Below are 24145 nucleotides of genomic sequence, written 5' to 3'. Positions count from 1 at the left end.
GTTTCCGCACAGGTAACCAAGCTGGAAAGGGCCAGGCCTGGGTCTGCTGCTGGGGAGGATGCAGAGGAGACACCACACGGGTGGCCTTTGCTGCCTGCTCACAGCTCCTCTGGTCCAGGTGTCCTGTTGACCCTTAGTATCCCCTCAGGGTTTGAGGGTGTCACCCCCAGCCCTGGGTCATGGCGGAGAGGCTAGGAGTGTCCAGCCACCATCTGAACCTTGAGGACAATTTCACTTCTTTGGTGCAGAGAGGTGGACAAGGCTTGTCTGAGGCCACACAGGGCCAGGGACAGCCAGAGAAACGTGGAGGGAGGAAGGTTCCCCAGCCTCTCCAGACCACCATGCAGAAGTGCACCTGAAGGCAGCCTCTTCTCCCGACACCCAGACCACCGTGCAGGTGTGCACCTGAAGGCGGCCTCCCCTCGTGACACCCAGGTGACTCTGGAGATGGTTTTTAGCAGCCAGGCTGGGCCCCTTCCTAGTAGAAGCCTTGCTCTCCTCCTGGCTGTGGGGTCCCTGCTGATGGCCAGTCTCTCTCCACGAGAGAGGTCTCTGCAAGGTAGACCTTGGGGTGCTATCCACCACGGCTGCAGGTTCCCTGATCCTGAAGGGGGTCCGACAAGCAGTGGGACCCCGGGTGGATTTGCTGAGTGGACCAGAGTCTTGACCCTGATGACCAAATCTGTCCCTTAGTGGGGATCATCCCACTTGCTGACCGCCCTGCAGGAGGTGGATGGCACATTCTAGCCGGCTCTGTGCCAAGGCGTCATTCAACAGTGGTGGAGTCTAGGCCTGGCTGCAGGACGGGCTTTTGGCCCACCTGAGAGAACAGGAGTTTGCGGTGCTTTAGGAACGCCTTCCCATGCAACTGACGTTATAATGACAAGCAACTCTTATGTATTTGTGGAAGCAGTTTCTACAGAACCTCACTTAGTGAATTTGTTCACCCGGTTTGTATAACTTTCATGTTCTCACAGAATCGCAAGGCTTTAAAACTCTATAATTTGGACAGGCATCAACTCAGTTGGTTTTAGAAAATGAGTCTCAATTTGTAAGTTCCTGATAAATGCTCCTAAGCAAAAGAGAGGCCTTGAGAGGAAAAGAAGGTTTTGTTTCCTGGGTGCGTTTCCTCTCCCGTTTACTCAGGGATGGCAGAGGGGCGTCCAGGCTACATAAGCCCCTAACCAGCTTTCAGAAATAGAAAAATACAAGTAAGAGGCGGCCTTTGCTCTTGAGACACTTGTCCAGAGATAGAAACAGACATCTGCAGAGCACGGAGTGTGGACTACGCTGTGATTAGCGTGATTTCCAGGGAAGGCCCCCCACCAGAAGGAGCACAGGGATTTCAGGGTAAGGAAGAGATGGGAGAAATGGGGCTGGGCAGTTGCAGCCACCATGGAAGCCAGGCTGACTTTTTGAAATTTCACTCCAGGCCGAGTAGGTCTTGCTCTTGGGGCGCAACGGAGGCACCTGCCAATCATCCCTGCTGCCTGAGTCCCTGCCCACAGGGCCACCTGGTGAATCCGCTGCGTGTGCCCACGTCATGTTTGGAAGGTGCCACAGACAACGTTATGTCCCTTCCAATTCACATATTTAGCCCTAAGTGAGATGGAGCAGGGGCCCCTCTTAGGGGCCTGCGGGCCGCCCCCTCACCCCAAACATGGAAATAAAGAAAAATCCTGAGTTTCTTCAGGGGAATTCCAGGCTCTCGGCTGACCCAGGGAAGTGAATGGGCAACTTGGTAGACAAGAGATTAATGGTATCATAAAACAACAGCCGAGGGAGCCAGGATCACGGAATGTTCGGTTCCCCTATGGAAACTAAGAAACTAAAGGTAATACTTTTTTTTTTTTTTTCAGAGGGTGTCTCGCTTTGTCACCCAGGCTGGAGGGCAGTGGTGTGATCTCGGCTTATTCCAACCTCTGCCTCCTGGATTCAAGCGATTCTCCCGCCTCAGCCTCCTGAGTAGTTGGGATTACAGGCAGCTACTTAGCCACCAAGCCCGGCTAAGTTTTGTATTTTTAGTAGAGACGGGGTTCACCACGTTGGCAAGGATGGTCTTGAACTCCTGACCTCAGGTGATCCGCCTGGCTCGGCTTCCCAAAGTGCTGGGATGACAGGTGAAGATAGCATTCTTCAAGTAAGTCCCTGAGTTGTTTTTCAGAAACCTGGATCTCCACGCTGGATCCGATCCGAGGGCACGCAGGCCTCGGATGCCGCCGTTCTTTGTTCTATATTTATTCCTGAGGGGCCTGGAGGGAGTCGCATCCATGAGACAAAACTCATATTCTTTTCTGCTGATCCCAAATTTTTAAGCAAAACTTCTCTTCCTTTGCCAATTGCAAATCAGAAAATCTTTGAATCCACCTGGGACCTGTAAGCCTCCACTTCAAGACATCTGCCTTTTGAGGCCAAAACCAATGTGTAACCTCCGAGGATTGATTTCCAATTTTGCTTCAACTTCTGCTTTCCTGAAACGTGCCCCTGCCTTTAAAAACCCTTATCTGCCAGCCACTGGGGAGGTCAGGACTTAAGTGTGCCCTGCTGGGGCCCCCCTCCTTGGTGCCTGCAAATAAACACCCTTCTCCCACTCGAACCTCTGTGTGGACGTCTGATGTTACCTTGTGGGGAGAGTGGACCCCCCTTGGGTTCCAGAACATCACCACCAGTGAGACCGTATTTGGAGATAGGGTCTTTAGGGGCCAATGAAAGTTACATGAAGTCTTAAGGGTGGGCCCTGATCCAGTAGACTGTGGCCTTATGAGATGAGGAAGAGAGAGAGACCCCCACTCCCCGCTCCACGTGAGCACACAGTCAGAAGGCACCATCTACATGTCAAGCCACAGGCCCTCACCACACCGGAGCTGGCTCACACCCTGATTTTGGACTCAGCCTCTAGATCCGAGAGGAGTAAATGCCTGTTGAAGCCACTGGCTCTGTGGTATTTTGCATTCTTAGGTCATGAACTTGCCATCCAGCAAATTTCAGTCCAGTCCAGGCCTCTCTAATGGTGTCAACCAGAATTTATTTCATGTTTCCTACAAGCTCCATACTGTGCTTCTTAGGGTAGGGAAACTCATGTAAAAATGGCTCTGATCAGTGCTACACCACGATCAAAGTATGATAAACTTCTTATGAGTGTTGTATTTTCAAATTATTCTACTATGATTCATAGTATCAACAAGTCCTCCCCACTAACCAAACACCTTCATAACCATTATTATGTCGACCCTGCAGCCTCCAGGGAGGCAAGCAGGTGTTGTTATAAAGACACTGAGGTACAGGGAGGGTGAGTGGTTTTCCCAGGGTCAGGGAGCTGGATGAACCTGACCTGGACTTATCCCAGGAAGCCACAAAGAATATTTACTCTCAGGAAAAGAACATGACCTCAAAGAAGCTCCTAATGCTTCCAGCTCTGGGTCCTGCCCCAGGAAAGTTGTGAGGAGGCCAAGGCTGGGTTCTTTGCCAGGAGTCAGGCAGGACAGTGTGGGCCCAACCGGGTCTGCCATGGACTGGTGCACAAGCTGTGCACTGCTCAACTCAAGTAGCACTGCTCTTGAGCACATAGAATATGGCGTGACTTGGCACCCTGGAGTTAAGCAGTGTGTGACCTGCAGGACTGAGCTGAGACACTGGGGCCTGTCAGAAGGCACTGATTACACTCTGCCTCTTCTAGGGAACAAGCTGGGGAGACGCATATGATCTAAACCTCAACCCAAGAGTCTGGCAGGGAGAGCTAGAAGACACCACTAGACAGTTTATTGTGTAATCCTGGGCAGTCCTTCAGGGGGTTCAGACGGAGGGAACTATGTCTGTTGACTGGGGCTGGGAGGAGGGAGCTGAACAAGCTTGCCTCAGAACGTGAAAACCACAGGGTGGCCCAGCTGCGGGCTTGTCTCATGCGGCCCAACAGGTAGATGTTAAGGCCGAGGATGCCTTGGACCTGTTTTTCATTCTTTCAGGCCCTGCTGATAAGTATCGCTCTGGAGAAAGCCCAGGCAGGGAAGCCAGGATGAGAAATGTCACTTGCCAGTAGGTCTTTCGCGGGCTTATTTGAAATCTACAGGCATGGTAATGGGTCTGATGGATTTTTAAGGACTCCGGCTGTGTTCATTTCCCACCAAAATGAGGTTCACATTCAGGGTTAAGTGATGCAAATAGTGCTCTCACTTTCTCATTCTCTCTCTCTCTCTTTTTGCTTCGGATTAAGCAGAGTTTATAGCTGTGGGTCTGTTTTCACATTGATGAGTCTAAATGCAAAATGCAGGCTGTGCACCTGCTCCCTGGAGCACACACATGCCTGTGCACGTGAGCATGGACACACACATGCACACCTGGATAGCCTCCAGCCACATACACACAGCTGTGTTCATATGTGATCAGGGCCCGTGAGCACACACCTGGCAGATCCTTTTGAGCAGGCATACCTGCCAACATGATAAACACACGTGCAAACATGTGAACACACCCAACCTCACACGGGCATTCAGGCCATGTATGCTTCGAAAAAGGAACACATTTGGCCTGCGCATGCACAAGCGTGCACTCACACCTGCAGACAGAAGCAGGCCCTCCAGAGGAAGTCCCAGTGCTTAAAAGTCAGACATTAAAAGCAGTCATAAAAGATTCGGCCAGAAGTTCACGGCAGCATTGATTTCTGTGGTTGTCAGAGCTGAGTAAATAAACCCCAAGTGGTGTTTAATCCTGGGACTTCCCACAAAGGGCCAGGAACTGGCGGCAAGCAGAGGTCAGGAAAGGTTCACAGCCTTCCTCGGAGTGGGCGGCTGCAGCGAGGGCTGGAGACGTGCAGGGCTTTCTCGGGCAGCCGCGGGGGCTCTTGGCCCCGTCTGTTGACTCATTTACCTGAACAGATGGGGCTCTTGGTTCCCAGGATGCTGGGCCAAGGTTTCAGGGCAACTTGACTGCCTTCCCCAGAGCCAGAGGAGGACCCCGGAGCCCACCTGGGTACAGGCAGTCACTGTCTTCCACAGAGCCAGCCCAGAGCCATGGTGCCTCCCATGCGCGGACGGAGAGTGTTCCCCTCCTGCGGCCTCTCAAACCTCAGGTCCTCCTGAGTTCTCATGAGCCTGCCTCAGGTCCTGATCACCAACTGTATGGGCTAAGTTGTGTCCCCTCTAACATTTATTTGCTGAAGCCTGACCCCCAGTGCCTCAGAATATGACTGTATTTGGAGATAGTGCCTTCAAAGAGGTGATTAAGTCAAAATGAGGTCCTTCGGGTGGGCCCTCAACCAATCTGCCTGGTGTCCTTAAAGGAGAGAAGGTTAGGAGACAGACACACACAGAGGGAAGACCACACAAGGACACAGGGAGAAGGCGGCCGTCTACAGGCCAAGGAGCGAGGCGTCTGAAGAAACCAACACTACCAACATCTCCATCTCAGACTTCCAGCTTCCCAGAGCTGTGAGAAAAATACCTCGGCTGTTGAAGTCCCCCAGCCTATGTGTGCTGTGATGGCAGCCTGGGCTGACTGACACATCAAACAATCCTCTACTATATCAACCACCAGCCCTAACTCAACCTGTGCTTACCACGGAACGCTGGCCCTGGGCTACGCCCTGATGCTGCCACAGGCTGGCTCCCACCCAGCCACACATGGCCGCACCATAGGGTCTTTAAAGAGGTTTAAATTCTAAGAAAGAAATCCTGTATGTTACACATGTAGGCAGTGTTTTCAGCACTCCTCATTCCTCTGTGTGGATTCATCTTACTATCTGTCATCATTTTCCTTCTGACTGCAAGACTTCCTGTAGCATTTGTTGTAGTGTGAGTCAGCAGGTGGTAGCATTTTTTTTGAGACAGAGTCTTGCTCTGTCGCCCAGGCTGGAGTGCAGTGGTGTGATCTCGGCTCACTGCAAGCTCCACCTCCCAGGTTCATGCCATTCTCCTGCCTCAGCCTCCCGAGTAGCTGGGACTACAGGCACCCACCACCACGCCTGGCTACTTTTTTGTATTTTTTTTAGTAGAGACGGGTTTCACTGTGTTGGCCAGGGGGGTCTGGATCTCCTGACCTCATGATCTGCCCTCCTCAGCCTCCCAAAGTGCTGGGATTACAGGCGTGAGCCACGGCGCCCGGCCAGCAGGTGGTAGCTTTTTTAGCTTTGTATGGCTAAAAAGTCTTTGTTTTGCCTTTGGCTTCTGAAAGACGTTTTTTCCGGGTATAGAATTTGAGGTTGACAGGGATTTTCCCCCTTCATTCCTTTAAAGAAGATGTAGCTGCACAATCTTCTTGTGATACATTGTTTCCAGCAAGAAATCTATTGCCATCCTTACCTATGTTCCTCTACGTGAAATACGTCTTTTTATTTTTTTAAGGTTTTCTGTTCATCACCGGGTTTGAGAATTTTGGTTATGATGTGGCTCGGTGTAGTTTTCTCAGTGTTTCTTGTGCTTGGGTTTTTTGTTTGTTTTTTGAAATTTTTGCATCTGTGGTCTTATAGTTTCCATCAAATTTGGAAATTTTTCAGCCATTATTTATTCAATTCTTTCTCTTCCTCCTGCTCCCACCTTTAGGCACCTCAGATACATGTATTAGGCTGCTTGTCATTGTCAAATAAGCACCTCACTAAAGCTCTGCTAATTTTTAAGATTTTTTTTCTGTGTATTTCATTTTGAATAGTTTCTATTGCCAAGTCATCGAGTTCACTGATCTTTTCTTCTGCGATCTGTAATCTATCATTAACCACATTCAGTGACTTTTTCTTACCAGACTTTGTAGCTCTTAGCTCTGGAAGTTTGGTTTGGGGTCTTCTTTTTATTTTCCATGTCTCTATTGAGCATGCTCAATCATTCCTGTAATGTTTTGGACATTGCAGATAGAATACGGCTATAATTACAGGTCCTTGTCCACTAATTCTAATATCCCTGCAGTTCTGAGTCTGCTTTGATCCTTTGATCCTCGTTATAAACTGCATTTTCCTGCTTCTTTCCTTGTCTCATGATTTTGCATTGGATGCTAGACATTGTGAATTTTTATCTTGTTAGGTGTTGGAGAGTTTTGTATTCCTATAAATCTTGGTCTTTGTTTTGGGAACTACTTTGATCATTTTGTGTCTTGCCTTTAAGATTTGCTGGATGGAACTAGAGTGGTGTCCAGCTTAGGGTGAATTATTCCCCGTAACCAAGGCAAGATCAGACTGTGGATGATACCCTGTGGATGAAGAGGTTTTCTAGTCAGGCTGATGGAGCTGGGGCAAGACCAGACTGTGGATGATACCCTGCGGATGAAGAGGTTTTCTAGTCAGGCTGATGGAGCTGGCTCTATCCCTGGCCCTGTGTGAGCTCCAGTTGCTGTTCCTTCTAATCCATTCAGGTGGTATTTTGCCTTGACCTTGAGTTGCCTCCTCACATGCCTGTGTTGATCTGTGCTATGCTGAATACTCAAGAGACCCCCTGCAGATCCCAGAGTTCCCTCTCTGTGCAGCTGCCCCTGTCCAGTGCTCTGCCCTGCAAACTATAACCCTCTTGATCTCCCAGATTCTCAGATCCATCTCTTCAATTCAGGGAGTCCACAGGACTCTGCCTTGGTTTCCCCTCCCCCATCAGGACCTGGAAACTCTGTCAAGGCAGAAACCATCACAACTGGAGGGCTCAGCTTGCTTTTTGCCATCTCTCTGAGAGCACTGTCCTTTACTGCCTGATGTCCAATGTCTTGAAAATCATTGTTTTATGGATTTTGTTTATTTGTTTGTTATTCCAAGTAAGAGAGATAATCCTGTACGTTTTGTTCCATCTTGTCAAGAGCAGGAGCCTCCTCACAGAATCTGAGCAGATCCCTGAGTGCACAGATGGCTTTGTACTAGTCTGGTCCAGCTTTCCACGTTCTTGGACCAACTCACCTATCCTTCCCCACAGAACATCCACTGCCCACTCCCTGAATCATCTGTCCTATTGCCCAGTAGCTCTATGTTTCTTCCTGTTCTTACTTGAACAGAACCGAGTCTGTAGTCCTGCTCAGCAGGCATTGAAGGGAGAAGAGACAGGAAGAAGAGGATCAGATGGTGATTAAGAGAGGGTGTATTAGCAGACTGTTTCCTTATAACTTGGCCCAAATCCTTCCCTGAAGAACTCTGGGAACCTGGACTGCATTATCTGTCAAAGTAGACAATTGACTCTGAGCAGCCCATTTCTCATGTGTGTGACTTGTGCTGCATGTGAATGTGTGTGTGTATGAGGATGCATGACTGTACGAGTGTGTGTTTGCATGTGTGTGACTGTGGGTGTGCATCCAGGTGAGCATGCTTGTGAGTGTGTGCTTATGTGTGTACCATTGAGACAATGAGCCATTGGAAGGAGATGAGAGTGTTCCCCAGCAGCCTGGGTGGGATAGGGCTGGTGGGAGGAGATGAGTGTCCCCCAGCGGCCTGGGTGGGATAGGGCTGGTGGGTTCTGAGACCTCAGATTGTGTCTTCCAGGGTGTGCTCCTTCTCCACACCCCAGTTTGCACCCTGAAGCCTTTCAGTCTTCAAATCCTGGCTATCTGTAGTCCTGCCCTGGCCCCCAAAGAAGAGAAAGTGCTTCAGCAGTTGGGAGGCTGGTGGGAAGGACTGGGGTGGTGCTTCTGTTCCGGCACCAGCCATTGACCCGCCATATCACCTTGAACTTCTCCCTCTCTGGGCTTCATTGTCCACATGTCTCCAGGATGTGTTAGTCCTGCCTGTCCACTCTGGGTTACTGGAGGGAGGTAAGGTCCGCATAGGGTGGCCACTGTGGGTGCCTGTCAGGGAGAAGCTGCTCCAGCCATTGTTGAATCAGTGCCAAGAGATGGCACCTGGGCGTGCCTCTACCACCTGTGCGGTGGAGTGGGGCCTCCCAGGGAGAGATTGCAGAGCCCGAAAGACTTGCTTTCTTCTTGAGGCTGTAGGACCACAGGGTCTCCCCTCTGGGGTGTGTGAGGCCCAAATTAGGCTGTGCGTAAGAAGTTGAGGCACTTTTTTTTTTACAAATCAGCATTCTTTTATTAATGATCAGATCACAATGCAGTATGAGAGTCCTAGTTTCAACCGGATGCATGGCTGACGGCCGTGAGCAAGGTGTGGACAGTGTTCCCATCTATCTGGCCTGGGGCCCAGGAGCTCCCAGTCGTCCTCCTGGCTCTCAGGCAAGGCAGCAGATAGGATGCGCCATTAGGGCTGGGCTACAGGCAGAGTTGTCCCAGCCCCTGCCCAGCCCTCCCATCCCCCTGGGGCTGTCTGGGACCCTGCCGCTGAGTCTCCTTCTTGTTCCCTCAAATCTGCCTTTGGCCTCCTCGTTGGGCCTCCTCTCGCTCTGCTTCCCCAGCTGGTTGAAGTCTGTCTCCCTGGGGTCTGCAGCTGGCAGGCCTGCCCAGCCCTCTCTACTTCCAATCCTTGCTTTTTGAAAGCCTCACCTCCTGCTTGTCTTCAAGACCCTGAAAGGTCAAGAATATTTGATCTTCCGGGTTCCACGTCTCATTATTAACAATGATGATAGGAAGTGGTGAGGTCACATTTCTCAAAGCCCGTGGCATGCCACGAGCTGCCTCCGCACCCTCCCCTGCTCACATAACCCTCAGGGCAACAGCTGTTATCAACCCTCTACTGGAGATGAGGGGCCCAAGCACCGGGGAGTCATACAGTGAGACGGAGAAGCAGGAAGTGGAGTAGGGTCAGCCCAGCTCTCTGGCCCCAGGGCTGCTGCCATTGTGGGCACACCATTGTGCCACTGCTGGGAATGTGTCCAGCTGGCCACACGTCCACATTTGCATGCTCTTGCACGACTGCCTGGCTGTGCCCATGGGCCGATTCCAGCCCTTCATTCAGACTAGGGGCTTGTGAAAGGTAGGGAATGGGGAGGGCCCTGATCTCTCTTCCCCATCCCTGGCCTGGGCTGGCCTCCCTAGGTCTGGATGAAGAAAGACTCCCAGGTTTATTGCTGGAGCATGGAGCTGAGGATGGACACACAGAGGCGCGTAGGCTGGGGGACCTGATGTCTCACAAGGGCTCAATTCTCTTCCTCAAGTTTTCAATGACACAATGACACAGGGTGTTTTGCTGGACTCCGAGATGGGTGCTCAGGAACTACCAGGCTCACTCCCCAGCATCTCCCATCACACAGGGGAGAAAGCTTAGCTTCCTCCCTCCAGCAGCCTCGGTTTCCCCAGACTCAGTCCCATCCTATCTGTGGGCAGGAGGGCCCTCCTTACCTGGGTCAGCAGGGAGGGCCCACTGTGGTCCCATGTATGACTTCCATCCTGCTCTCTGGGCCTGAGTCCCTGCCTGGCCAACTTCAATTCATTCAACAAACATGAATTGAGCACCAACTATTCTAGGGATTCAGCAGTGATCAACATAGGCAGAAAGCTAGCCCTTGGGTGCCGAATGTCTCAGAGTAGCTGGGCAATAGACAGGCAACACACAGATGTGATTTCAAGGAGCGATCAGCGCTGGAAGGCAAAGAAACAGGGTGGTTCCCAGGTGACGAGCTGGCCATGTCCAGGACAGGTGCAGCCTCGCCTGGAAGGTCCGACGTCAGGACTGAAGCCTGGCTGATGAGGAGCCCATGCTGGAGTCCCTGCTAGTGCCTGGCTGTCTGCTGTTGTCTGGGCTTAGGACATCTCAGCCCCTGGCCCTGAGCCAGACACACTCATCATCCAGTCCCTCGGTTGGTGGCAAATCCCATCACCAGGCCTGATAACCAGATGCTGGGGCCCCAGGTGTGTTTTCTGAATGAGTGAGCCTGAGTTGGTCCTCCCGGTTGTAATGTGGAGACAGTTATTATCCCCACTTTTCAGGTGAGAACTCTGAGGTGGAGGGGGTCTGAGCACCTTGCATGGGCAGGTCCGTGTCACACGGACACCCCAGGACGAGCTCCCAGAGGGCAGCAGCCATGCCTCCTGCACCTTAGCGGCATCTAGAGCAGAGCCGGCCCAGACACACCACCCGCCGGCCACAGCAGACGGTGCCTGCCTGAGACAGACGGCTGAGCTGGCGCAGCTGGCACTGGCTTTCCAGCGCCTGTCCTCGAAGCTGTGGGCTTCGAGGTGTTTGAGCGGCAGCAGCGCGGCCACGCAGCCTCTCCTTCCATCACTCCTGTCAGCGGCAGCTCTGCCCCCAGGGGTGGCGAGGGCACCTCCAAGGGTGGCGAGGGAATAATTGTCATGTCAAGCCCCAGGCCTGTGACAGCTGCCGGGAGCTGCACGCAGAAGGCCTTGCTGGAAGCTGGTGCAGCAACGTGGAGCATGGGAACCCTGAGCCATAGCTGGGCCACCACAGACCTGCAGGCAGCATGGAGCTGCCTCTCGAGCCATCTACGTCATAGTCTTGCTTTCTTGGGGTGTTACCTCCAGGCAGCAAACCCTGCTGCCACCCAGCCAGGGATGGGGGTCCTGAGGCCGTCTCATTTCAGAGTCCCCGGGGGAAGTCTCCAACCTGCCTGGGGGTGCCAAGGTGGACAGGGGAGAGCTGTGAACCCCAGCTTTCTGATGCTGGGGCATGACCTTTGCCACAGTTGGGCTGGGCTCCAGGGAGAGGCGTGCAGGGGCTTCCTGGCCTTCACATGGGGTTGGGGGCTGGAGGACAGACAAAGAAGGAGGCTGCTGGGGCCAGTGAGGCTGGAGCCTGGGGACCTCTAGGACTGAGCTGTGGGCGTCGGGGGAAGTGTACCCAGCTTGCAGGTGAAGATCTGGGCTTGATGGAGGCCTCAGTCAGTATCTGAGGGGCGGTCAGCTGTGGGGGAAGATTGGGGCAGGGGTGCTGTCTCATTCCTGGCCTGCATATGCCAGTCAGTCTTCCTTGCTGGGAAGCTCTCCTACCCACCCAGACCTACACACGGGCTGACACCCACCCCCACCATGGCAAAGACTTTTCCCTTCTTAAGGACTTCCTTCCTGCCTGGGTCTCCGGAAGTCTCTGCTCTGGTCCTTCTCCCACCAGCTGCTCTGTCTTCAGGGCACAGGTGCTCCTGAGGAACTCTGCGTCCCCAACTTACTGAACCTTCCTCTGGAGTCAGCACCAGGAATGCAGGGCGTGCCTGGCACCTCTGCACCGGGGCGACCCTGGATCGGTGGCTGTCCTGTCATCTGCCAAGCACTCCCAGCCACTGGTTCCTTCTGAGCTCTGTCTCAGCTCCATCCTGCTGGCTTCCACACTGTGGGGCCTGCCCGCGGCCTGAGCTCCGCACCTGAGCTCTGCACCTGAGCTCTGCACCTGAGCTTCCCCACCTGAGCTCCACACCTGAGCTTCCCCACCTGAGCTTCCCCACCTGAGCTTCCCCACCTGAGCTCCACACCTGAGCTCAGCACCTGAGCTCTGCAGCTCCACATCTCAGCCACTCCCTACCCCTCCAGACAGGGGTACCAGCCTCCCATTTTTGTCCACACAGTGAGGACACTTCCTCTTCTAGGCTCCCCCAGGCCCCAGCCCAGCACCCACACCCCGGTGGCCCACCTATCCCTGCCTCCCTGATGGGTGCAGGATTCACACTGTGGGCCTGGTGGGGGGTCGGGGTGTCTGGAACCCAGGTGAGATATGAACTGCATTTGTGTGACAGAGGGGGCTGAGGCTTAGCAGGTCACAGGGGTCATGAGCCCACCTGGGCCTAGAGCTGCAAGATGAGGCCTGAGCCATCCCCAGCATCGCTGAGCCCCCCTGGGCTTCTAGCCTAGGCCAGGCTGGCCTTGCAGGTGGAGGGGTCAGGGCCACAGCAAAAGATGCAGTGGGCTCAGGGACGGGGAGCACCCAGGAGGGAGGCGGGTGCCTGGCAGGGAGGAAGAGCTCAGCGTCAGACACCCGGGCTGAGATGCCACCAATGGCCAGATGCAGGAGGAAGGGGCTCCGTTAGATAAATGGGCAGATGCATGAATGGATAGGGGTGTGTGTGTGTGTGTGTGTGTGTGTGTGCGCATTCATATTTGATGCTCAAAGATAAATGACAGTTGGCTGTAGCACTTTGGGACCACCAAGATGCAGAAGGTAGCTGAAGCCAGGCTAGTGTGGAGCCTTAAGAGAGCGGCTGAGGTGGACCCCTGTTCTACAGGGCCAGTTCCACTCCGCACACTTCACACTCATGCACACACATGCATACTCCCATTCACACACATGCACCCACAGACATGTGTGCACCTGCATGCCCACATGTACATACACACAATGTCCTGTGCCACTGTGGACACCTGGAATGGTTCAGCCACTACAGACTGCACCCTGGAGTCATCTGTTGAGGATCCAGCCCAGCAGCCCATGGAAGCCATTTTGGCTGGTGCTTCAGCCTCAGCCCCTCCTTTCTTCCGGGTCGCACCAGCAGAGTCCCAGTGCAGCTCATAGTGGCTGTGGGCAACCTCAGCTTCCCCTTTTGTCTTATGTCTGGGCAGGAACTGGTGGCCCAGTGGCTAAAGTCTGGTGGCCACTGCCCCCTCAAGTGCTGGGTTCTAGGGACTGTGGCGATGTGTTCGTGGATGGTAGAAGGACGTCGGTAGGCGATGCTGGGGTGGTCCCAGCACATGCCCCACTGCCCAGAAAGCACGGCGCTGCCATTGCCCCCTGGCTGCTCCTGAGGACAGATGCAAGGCCCAGACCCTTCCCTGGGGACCCCCAGGACTGAACAACCCTCTTGGGCCTCACTCCAGCCCAGCAAATGACACCTCACAGCTGAGCCATTCACCTCTGATCAAAGCCTCCTCATTTGAGTGACTGGTGGTTGATGGTCACCTTGGCGTTCAGCACAGCTGGGGGACATCAGCCCACATGGCTGTCAGGGAGGGAAGAGGGTGTGAACCCTGAGGCCGGGGCTGATTCCCCTCGCCACCTGGCCTGAGCCGGACAGGATGGCTTCTGAACAGAAAGATGAGAGGAGCTGCAGGACCTGCCATCTGTGCCCAGTCCCCAAAAGGGCTGACAGGTTTCGGGAAGGGTGCAGAGGAGCCGCAGCCCCAGGCATCCTCCTTGACAAAGATGAGCAAGAAAGGAAGTGCAGGTGCAGCAGCGGCAGCAGTGCCCGCCTGTGAGCAGCCAGCACGGGCCACGCAGGAACCCACATCAGCTGGCAAGGGCCCGGCCTCTCCTGTCCCTGGGGGAGCCAGCAGCTGGGAAAGAACCCACCAGGTGCATGGTGAGGCAGGTAATGAAGGAGCCACCAGCCCCAGTGGCTGCCAGGCAGTGATTGTTTGGCCTGGCAGGGGAGAGAGCAGCCCACAGAGGGGGTGCCCCTGGGTCAGGGAATTTGCATCTCAAAGAGGCAATGGAAAGAGCCATCAGCAGTCCCTCCTCCAGGAGAACTGCTATTCCCAGAGGAAGGCAGAGAGGAGCAGAAGCACATTCCAAGCACAGAGAATGCGGTCAGCCTGGAGCTGTGTGAGGTCAGCCTGGAGCTGTATGAGGGGTGTTTCCTGCAGCTAGCTGACCTTCCTGCGGCTGCCCTGCCTCATAGGCCAGCCCATGGTACCCCTCACCTCCCCACAGCTCCCAGGTGCTGAGCCCAGCCTTGCCCCTGGACGCCCCCTCTTCCTGTCCCAACAGTGGCTGAGGAGGCTGAGGGGTGGCGGGCTGTGCCCATGGTGAGTGTAGCTGACTGGAACCACTTTCCTCTCCTGGGCTCCCTGCCCTCCGTGGCCTCCAGGCCTCTGTCCTCTGTCCCTGCTCCCAGGAGCTCACCAAGTCTCTCTTGGGGCCCAGGTGCCAGTTGGTGCTCCCCAGAGCAGGGCTCTCCTGGCCTCTAGGGTCTTAGTGCCTCTACGTGGTGACAGTCACCGAGTCCATGTGTGAGCAGGCTGCTCACTTGGTAGCCAGCAGCTTCGATGAGACACCAAACCCCATGCCCCGGCCCCGAGGGGAGGCTCATTTAGAAACCCTCACTGAGCACTGCCCTGTGCCAGCGACTGCGCCAGGTCCTCAGAACACAAGGGTGTGGACTCCAGGCAGCAGGGCGCACTAGGGTCATCTCTGAATGCAGACGTTCCCCCGAACACGGAACTTGAGACAAGGGTTTGTACGGGAGCCCTTTGCTTCGGCAAGTGATTTCAGACGCTCAGGAATCAGGGTGCAGGCAGGGTGAGGCAGAACGAGACAGGGTGCTTGGTCCTACAAGGCTGTGGCCTCAAACAGGCCACTGTAGTGGCCACCTGGGGCTCAAGCCCACGGGATGCCCTAGGAGCCGCATGGCGTGTGCCATAGAATTGTGCACCCAGACATGGAAGACCCACCAGGCTCCACCCTCATGGGCCAACGGCTGCCCCACTCCCTTGCACATCCAGGCTATGTGCCTGAGTGCTGAGCGGGCACCCTCAGGTATCCTGGGCTGCACCCTCAGCCTCTGGGACACCAAGGGCAAGGGGGTAGTTGAGGAGTGGGCCTGCCTGCAGGGAATACTGCATGATGCTGGAGCCCAGCAGGAGGATCAGGAGCACGGCAGGGACTTTCTCGGCTCCCACGGATGCATCTCTGCCCAGCCAGCCTCAGACCAGCGCCCCTCACTCGGTTCAGTGGGTCAAAGTTCCCACCTGCTCCTCAGGCCTGAGGGAGGTGCCCAAGTCAGAGGAGGCACCAATTAGCCCAGAGAGCAGACTCCATGTTTTCCTTCCACCAGGGCCGGATGTCTGGGCTCGGAGCAGCCCCCCGATAGTGCTTTCTCCCTGAGTCTCCGAGTGCACGAGGCAACTGTGAGAGGGCTGTGGGAAAGTGCATGCTCAGGACCTCTGTGAGCATAATTGATGCGATTGCCTCTCAGACTTGCACGGTAAGTGCTTTGGAAATGCTGGCTGGAGCAGGAACTCTGGGGTGGGGAAGCCGCTCAGCTGGGAGTAGAGAACTCAGGGTGCACCCAAACTCACTTTGCCACATTTAGCAGTTTGCTCCAGCTCTCTGGCAGAAAGTTCCTGAACTGTCACCTGAATGGGGGCGTAGGGGGGTGGGGTCTTGTGATGTGAATGTCCGTGTCCCCCTGCAAATGTATGTGTTAAAACCCTAAGTCCCAGTGTGGCTGTATTTGGAGATAGGGACTCTAAGGAAGCAACTAATCCTAAATGGGGTTATCAGGGAGGGACACTGACCTTATAAGAAGAGACACCTGAGGTGCCCTCTCTCCTCCCTGCATGCGTGCACTGAGGAAGGCCACGTGAAGATGCACCCAGAAGGCGGCCGCCCATCACCCGAGGAGAGAGCCCTGCGGGTGGATGCCCTGACCTTAAACTTGCACTCACCAGAGCTGTGAGAGTTAAGTATCCACCGTTTAAGCCACCTCGTCTGTGGTATTTTGCTGTGGCAGCCCACGCTGACTATTACAGAGAGGATGGGATGTTTCTGAGCCACCGATTCTACAACTCTCTAGGGACTTTGCTTAATCGGCTGTAGCAGGGAAGGTTAATGGGAGAGGTTACTGAGTGCTGGGATGGGAATGGACATGTGAGCTCCTTCCGCTTGAGCGCCTGTGTGGGCAAGGAGCAGCCAGGGCGCTGTCCCAAGGGCCTGAGCATGGGGCTCCTGCATGAGGCAGGGTGGGGCAGAGACCCAGAGGCCACCCGAGTCAGAATCTCTAGGGAAATTCACACCCCGTGGAGAGTGAGCCCCAACAGTAGGATGGGGAGGACAAGCAGCGGGAGGGGGGACGGGGCCACAGAGTTTGGAGGACATGGGTTCAGAGCAAGCCCCAGAAGCATGAGTGACAGGGGGCTCTGGTGGTTACTATGACCCTCAGGAGATGGGGATGGGCCATGCCTGATGCTCAGGGTCACCTGGTGGGCCTGTGAGACAGTGTCAGGAAGGAGGTTGACAGCCCTCGCGAGGGCAAGAAGAGGCAGGCAGGGCCTGGGGTGGGGGCCCAGCCCATCCTTGGCACAGCAGTAGCCATGGAGGGCAGCTGGGGTGGGGACGGCCGGTGCTGGGGCAAAACAAGAGGCCCCAGATCTGAGTGGAGTGTGGGCACCTGAGGTCCCCCAGGAGCGGTGCTCAGTAGGTGTGGTTAGGGCCACTGGGAGGAAGTACCCCGGCCCCTGTCCTGGAGCGGCCTGAGGAGCAATTCTCCAGGGCACACTGAGGCACTGCCATTACCTAGACAGACGATAGTGGACCTCCTGCTGGCAGTTAAGGTCAGTGCTGGCCCCTTTCCACGTCCTGGTTCAGTGCTGCTAAGGCATTTGGGGGCAGAGGTGTGTCCAGAATCCACCCCAGGTCACCCCTGGCCTCTGAGCATGGGGCCCCTGAGCAGGGAGGCCTTCATGGAAAGTCGTGGGATGTGGGGAGAGGGACTGACCCCTTGTGCTCCACCCCCAGCTCATCCAACCCCAGTGCAGCCTGGAGACTGCCACCGTGCCCCCCGGAGGGCGATGGAGCCTCCGCTCTGCTCAGGAGCAGCCTGGCTTCCGGGAGGGCAGCCTGACTCCCACGGCACTGCCGGTGACCCCTCAGCTCAGGCCCCGGGGCTGCGAGAATCTCAAGTGTGCATTCTGTGAAGTGTGCATTCTGTGACGTGTGCATTCTGTGAGGGCTTCGTGGCTTCTTCCTGGGTGTGTGCTGTCCTGGCTCTGGTGGGGCCACTGGTTGGGCAGGTTCAGGTCTGCAGAGCCTGCCCTGGAGAGAACCCCTTCTCCGGCTCTGGGGGAGCACTCACGCTGCCACCTGTGTCCCTGTGGCGGCCCCTTGCCTGCCTGCATTTGGCTGGCCTGGCCCGACACCTTCCTGCCCCTGGCCCATGTGCCTGCTCCGAGTCCCTCCTGCCACATGGGACCCGGGCAGGCCTGGGCAGCCCCGAGGGCCAGCTGTGCCAAGCGAGGATGCCACCCTGGTTCCAGGGAGCAGCAGTGCCATCAGAGAAGGCCCTGCAGGCTGTCGGCCCCCCGGGTCACAGCAGCTTGTTCTGGCAGCCCCTCCTCCCCCGGGGCCCTTGTTCTCCTCCCTGGCTCTTGGCCTATCCTCAGGCCATGCCAGTTGCGTCTGTCCCCACGGCCAGTGCCCTTCCTGAGCCCTACACACCTCGCCCAAGAGCCTCAAGTCTTTCCATGGAAGTCTGAACCCGAAGGCAAAAGCACTTGGAGGTGGTTCCCAGAAGGCGCCTTCATGAGTGAACGGAGGGTAGGGATGGTCCCAGGTGCTCTGTCTCCCAACATCACCAACGTCCCCTCATCCCTGGGGCCCATGAGCCAGGACGCAGCCCCACCCTGGTCTGTGCCCCTCGGTCCTGGAGTAGGCTCTTGTGTCTCTGATGATTTAGGGCAGGCAAGCTTGGCTGTCAGAGCTGGGAGAGACTGTGGGGCCATTGGCCCCTGCTTTGTGAAGATGAGGAAGTGAGACCCAGGGAGAAGGGACTAATGTGTCTGATGGTCACAGAGCAAATTTTTGGCAGTGTCAACCACAGGGCCTGGTTATCCTTCTTTCTGGTGTAGTCAGAGAGGCCTGGAGGAGGACGGAGCTGCCTGCCTGGAGGCTGGACTCTGGCCATGTGCAGCCTGGGATGTGGCAGGATGGGGCAGGGGCCTCAGGGCTTGTTTTGCGCCCTGGCTAGTGGGACATGGGGCTGGGCGAGCATATGCCTGCCGCAGTGTGTGACAGCTGTCAGCTGTCCAGAGAGCCGGCGGAGACGGGCCTGGGGCTGGGAGCCTGCGCCAGTTGCCATTTAAACCTTGGCAGTCGGAGAGCCCCTCGATGCCAAAGGCCCGCGGTGAAGGAGGCGGTAGTGGTGGCGAGTGCCCACTGCCTCCCACACAGCCAGGCCCAGCACGCAGGGAGAGGCGCCCTCCCTGGACCAGCTCTCCTTGTCTGTGTGGGAACATAGGGCGGCGCTCTGAGGGCTGGGCCTGACAGAGGCAGGAGGTGGCGACTGGAGGGGTGCTTGCCGGGGAGGTGAGGCATGGATGTCCCTGAGGACGGTGCGTCCGGGCAGGCAGTGGGCAAGGCTGGCCATGCCATGTTCCCCAGCAGGCTAGAGCAGCTGGGATGCACTGGGTGCCTGAGGATGGCGCTGGATCACTCCCTGTCTCCTGATGTGTGCAGGGCAGCCGAATGGGCTTCCAGGAAGCCAACTCCAGCCCCTGCAGCAGGCCTCAGGCGGCTTCTCCCAGGCATCTTGAGCCTGGCTTCACACCCCTCCTCTAAGGCACATTCTCCTTTAATCCCAAGGTCCTGTGAAGTAGGAATGAATTCTTTCTCTTGCTTTTCCAATAACCCAACTGAGGCCCAAGAGGTGGAATGGCCTGTCCAGGGTTACACAGCAGGCGGCCTGGCCCTGGGACCAGATGCCCAGCCTCCTGACCCTCAGGCCTCCTGACTGGGGGCTCCCCGGCCTGGGAGGGAGGGCTGTGCACACTCAAGACCCTGAGTCGCCTGTGACCCCAAAACACAGACAGCAAGGGCTCCCAGTGCCTGCACTGTGGTAAAACGAGCCCAGAATGGAGGCAGAAGCACCTGGATTCCACAAGAGCTTCGCCTGGCGCTCTGCGCCGTCAGAAGCCCCTGCACCGGGGCCAGTTCTTGCCCTCGCCTGTAGACAGGAACACTGCTTCTGGCCTTCCAGCAAGAGACTCCAAAGACTTTCCCGGTGTCTCCATGTGTCCTGCTCCTCCTCAGAGGATGCCTGAGAATTCTTGAGGTGGGGAAAGAAAACACAAAGAGGACCGGGGCTGGGGGGTGTCCCTGGCCACGCCCCCCACTGCCATTTGCTGATGGGTGAGGTGCCTTTGTCAGACATCAGGATGAGGCTCCTTTGTCAGGGATCAGTACCATTTGTGATGAGCCCAGGACTGTCAGTCTCCCGTCCCAGGACAGTCTTGCAGGGGGAGCGTCCCTGATAGGAGGGTGGCGGGAGGCGGAGCATCTAGCCCTGCGGTGGTCCTAGCTTCTATCTCAACAGCCCGCCCAGCCCTGGACCCCAGCCCTGCCTATTTGCCATCCATCCACGGAAGGCTTGGGATGCCACTGTTTCAGCATGTCCTGGGGAGAGGCTGGGCAGCCCCGGGACTCTGGCAGCAGCAGGGTGTGAGCAGAGCATCGGGGAGCCGGGCACACTCGGGCTCCAAGGCCAGGCTCTCCCCTTTGCAGTTGGCCACTCGGGAAACCCACTGTGCCTGAAGCCTAAGAATTCCTACATGGCAGGGGCCTTGGAGTCAGTCGCTCACTCCCTCACCCGTTCCTTCATTGCGTGAATGAGTACGGTGCCTGGCACGGTCCTAGTTGCTGGGTTCTGATGGTGAAGCATCTGGACGTCCCTGCGGCTGACCGTTCACGGAGACACAGACAGGAGCAGGCAGCAGACGGGGCCGTGGCACCCGGGGGAGGGTGGCTCATAGCACTTGGGGGACCGAGGCTTCTCGGATCCCTGGGATGATAGCTGGGCATTAGCCAATGAGGGAGGCCAAAAGATGGGGAAGGGCCCTGGAAGAGGGGGTGGCCTGGGAGGAGGCCAGGGTCTGAGCAGCAACAGGGCCACAGGAAGCAGAAGCAGTTGAGTGAAGGCAAAGAGTAGGTCAGTGCTGGGGGGACTGTGCCTCAGGGGTCACCCTAAAACCCCACGGCCAAGGCGGGGTGAGGCCCCAGCATAGTCTCCAGAGTCCTCTATTGCTCCAGCTCTCGAGATTCCTTCTGCTTCCCCCCAGAGCTCCTTCAGTCCAGGCCTCTGTAGCTAGTTGGAGGACAGCCCCGTGTTCACGTCCTAATCCCTGGAACCCATGACTTGTATCTTATTTAGCAAAAGATGTGATGAAGTTAAGGGTGTTTCGAGGAGAAGGCTGTCCTGATTATCTGGCGGGCTCTAGATGCCCCCACATGTGTTCCTATGAGAGAGGGGAGATGTAGGTTCAAGAGAGACACACAGGAGAGGTGCTGTGAAGAAGGGGCGAGAGGCACAGCCATACCCCGAGGAATGCCAGCGGACCAGCACCTGGAGGGTGGGGCACCTGCTCTCCCCCAGCACTTCCAAAGGGTTGTGGCCCTGACCAATCTTGACTGCAGACTTCCAGCCTCCAAAACTGTGACAGAAAAAAATTGCTACTGTTTTAAGCCACCAAATTTGTGCTAATGTGTTACTGCAGCAACAGGACAGCCGTACAGTCTCAGGGAGAGCCCGTGGTGGAGGCAGAAGCCAGGAACCCTGAAAGGCTGCTGGAGAACCTTCCTCGCCTCTCTGGAGGCAGAAGAGGGAAGGGGTGCAGCCAGCCAGGAAGGAGACATCGTGGCTCAGTACCAGGGACCAGCTGGCCTCGGGTGGAGCCGGGAGGGCTGGGATTTCACAGCAATCACTGAGCGTCAGCCTCACACGGCCCAGAGCACAAAGCTACTCAGCCTCCCACAGTCTCCTGATCCAGTGCTGCAACCTCGTGATCCTGGACACTAAGCAGCGTATTTACCTGCTTATTAAGACCCCCATGGAGCAGCGAGCAAGGGCTACTGCTGGCAAAATCTAAGAGGGGTTTGCAGCTTGCTGGCCAAAGACTTGGACTGACTCAATCACCATGGAGACCAGAGCATCTGGCACCACGTGGCACAGCCCAGGACCTCAGCCTTGTTCCTCAGCAGCCCTGGGGGGAGGCTTCTTAGCTCCCGTTTTTGTAGAAACATAGGTCACTTGGGACAGCCATTGATGATGATGATAGTGATGACATTTGTGGTGGTGATGGTGGAGGGGTGACGACAGTAATGGTGGTGGTGATAATGATGTAACGATGGGGGTGCTGATGGTGACGGTGGTGATGGAGGTGATGGTGATGATGTAATGATGGGGTGCTGATGGTGATGGTGATGATGAAGGTGATGGTGATAATGATGTAATGATGGGGGTGCTGATGGTGATGGTGGTGATGGAGGTGCTGGTGATGATGTAACGATGGGGGTGCTGATGGTGACGGTGATGATGGAGGTGGTGGTGATAATGATGTAACGATGGGGGTGCTGATGGTGACGGTGGTGATGGAGGTGATGGTGATAATGACGTAATGATGGGGGTGCTGATGGTGCCGGTGGTGATGGAGGTGTTGGTGATGATGTAACGATGGGGGTGCTGATGGTGATGGTGGAGATGGTGGTGGTGATGACGTAACGATGGGGGTGCTGATGGTGATGGTGGTGACGGAGGTGGTGGTGGTGGTGATGATGTAACGATGAGTGATGGTGGTGATGGAGATGATGATGAGGTAACAATGGGGGTGCTGATGGTGACGGTGGTGATGGAGGTGGTGGTGGTGATGATGATGTAACGATGAGTGACAATGGTGATGGAGATGGTGATGATGTAACGATGGGGGTGCTGATGGTGACGGTGGTGAAGGAGATGGTGATGAGGTAATGATGGGGGTGCTGATGGTGATGAGGACCATGTAACTGTGGTGATGTTGGCGGTGGTGGCAATGGAGATGACTGTGATGATGGCAGTAGTGGTTATGGGGTCTTCCCTCTGCATGGAGAACACTTGGAGCCTCACAAATGCTCCATGTTTCATGATGGAGGTTCCAGAGGTTGTGAGCAGAGGTGGGGCAGATAACGCCAAGTCCTACAGCTGGGAGGAGGGGAGGGCAGCACTGTTGGCACTTTCTTGTGTTGAGGATTTCACTTGAGCCTCCCAGCAGCCCTTTGGAACCAAGCACATCACCTCCATGACTCCCTCCCTCCCCCAAAGCCTTAAAACGGAGATAACCCCGGTTCCCCTTCCAGCATCAGTGTGTGCCATCCCCCTCACTCCACCATCAGAGCCCGCTCCCTCCTGCTCCTAGATCTCACAGCTCACGAGGTCCCGTGGAGGTCCCTCCTGGGGCCAGGTCTCCAGCCCTTGGAGCCTTTGCCTCGATGTCTGCCACGGGGGTTTGGTTTGTGCCCATCACTTTGCCAGACTGGGCATCACAGGGGACAACAGGCTTGTCCCATTGACACAGGACTCCATCGAGGTCCACAGCTTCTGCCCTGGGGCGTGGCTGCCACGAGAACACAGAGAGTCGAATGCTGCTCAGCCCTGGGGCAGGTCCGAAGGTCCTGGGCTGCCAGAACCCCTAGCCCCGTTGTCCTCTGCCTCAAGCAGCCTTTTCCCCATGAGCATTGCAAATGTGACCTTTTCCTTCCTGACACAGGAAAGGCCGGAGCACCTCTGTGCAGCATGAGCAAATGCAGGTGCATCCAGCCTTTGCTGCGGGCCAGGAATGTGCTGCACGGCACCATGTTAGCACAGCCACGGCACAGGGTACCATCACTCCATCTCACAGAAGAGGAAGCTGAGGCACACAGAGGCCCAGTGACTGGAGCAGATCACACATGGCAGGTGGCAGACCCAGGTCTCTGAATCCACAGCCTCTTAAGCCCAGCAGGTTTTTGTTGCATGAATGAGAGCACCTGGCTCCCCATGTCGGCAGGCATTTGGTCTGCTCACGGCAGAGCCAGCCTGGGTGGATGCCACTGTTCCCCGAAAGCTGACCAAAACTGCCTGTGAATACATCATTTCATCTGAGGCTCACAAAGCTCATCTTGCAGATTTAAAGCGTTGCCGTCAGGAGGAAGCTCACAGGCCAACAAACCCAAACTTTTCCTTCCTCCACGAGCGACTGGCTTGCCCAGGGTCACACAGACAACTGCAGCTGCCGCAGGACCCACTTCCACTCTTGCACTCACTGGAGTCTCTGCAGCCGCTAGGATGGACCCAAGGAGGGAGCCCCTTCCCTGTTCTGTTCTCAGAGGGAAGGAGCTGGGAGCCAGGGTCAATCAGACCAGGCCCCAAGGCCCCAACACCTGCAACCCCTGGGGTGAGGAGGGCTCTGCACGTGAAAGTCGCCTCCATCCAAATCTTCTCCTGGCCTGGCCTGGGGTTCTCCCCGGCAACCCCAGGATGGAAGAGCAGGTGTCAGGGCTGAGTGGGGCAGACAGAAGCTTGTTCAGGAGGGTGGGAGGCTGCCCCTGCCTGCAGGGGGCGGGGCATGAAGGGGCCGTGGCAAAAGGGCAAGCGGAGAGAGAAGGGCCATCCAGGTGCTCTGCGCTGGTCCTGAGACCTTGCCCAGCACTCCATCCACCAGCCTCCAGGGGTGCTGGCCAAAGGGGAGCAGGCTGCAGCTCCCAGGGCGGTGCAATGCCTGATCCAGAGGAGGACGCAGGGACCCAGGAAGGCCAGACGCCAGCCTGCTCTGAACCAGCAGAACGGCAAGTCCTCTAGGCAGGCTGCAGGGGTGCAATGGACAGAGCAGGGAGGCTGGTGTCAGGAACACCCAGGGGGAT

General features: G+C 56.2%; 5 annotated features.

Annotated features, from left to right (window-relative positions):
- Positions 1-501: an enhancer, noted in NCBI's record as "H3K4me1 hESC enhancer chr8:143115683-143116183 (GRCh37/hg19 assembly coordinates)". NCBI's record gives its function as "activates a minimal SCP1, AML or CMV promoter by ChIP-STARR-seq in primed H9 embryonic stem cells {active_cell/tissue: H9 hESC(primed)}" and the evidence as "EXISTENCE:reporter gene assay evidence [ECO:0000049][PMID:30033119]".
- Positions 3821-4561: an enhancer, noted in NCBI's record as "OCT4-NANOG-H3K4me1 hESC enhancer chr8:143111623-143112363 (GRCh37/hg19 assembly coordinates)". NCBI's record gives its function as "activates a minimal SCP1, AML or CMV promoter by ChIP-STARR-seq in naive and primed H9 embryonic stem cells {active_cell/tissue: H9 hESC(naive and primed)}" and the evidence as "EXISTENCE:reporter gene assay evidence [ECO:0000049][PMID:30033119]".
- Positions 5675-5734: an enhancer, noted in NCBI's record as "active region_28056". NCBI's record gives its function as "activates an Ori minimal core promoter by ATAC-STARR-seq in GM12878 lymphoblastoid cells {active_cell/tissue: GM12878}" and the evidence as "EXISTENCE:reporter gene assay evidence [ECO:0000049][PMID:35858748]".
- Positions 13038-13717: an enhancer, noted in NCBI's record as "H3K27ac-H3K4me1 hESC enhancer chr8:143102467-143103146 (GRCh37/hg19 assembly coordinates)". NCBI's record gives its function as "activates a minimal SCP1, AML or CMV promoter by ChIP-STARR-seq in primed H9 embryonic stem cells {active_cell/tissue: H9 hESC(primed)}" and the evidence as "EXISTENCE:reporter gene assay evidence [ECO:0000049][PMID:30033119]".
- Positions 13718-14399: an enhancer, noted in NCBI's record as "OCT4-NANOG-H3K27ac-H3K4me1 hESC enhancer chr8:143101785-143102466 (GRCh37/hg19 assembly coordinates)". NCBI's record gives its function as "activates a minimal SCP1, AML or CMV promoter by ChIP-STARR-seq in primed H9 embryonic stem cells {active_cell/tissue: H9 hESC(primed)}" and the evidence as "EXISTENCE:reporter gene assay evidence [ECO:0000049][PMID:30033119]".

Source organism: Homo sapiens, chromosome 8, assembly GCF_000001405.40.
Source record: "Homo sapiens chromosome 8, GRCh38.p14 Primary Assembly".
NCBI lineage: Eukaryota > Metazoa > Chordata > Mammalia > Primates > Hominidae > Homo > Homo sapiens.
This window is presented reverse-complemented; position numbering and strand designations above follow the sequence as displayed.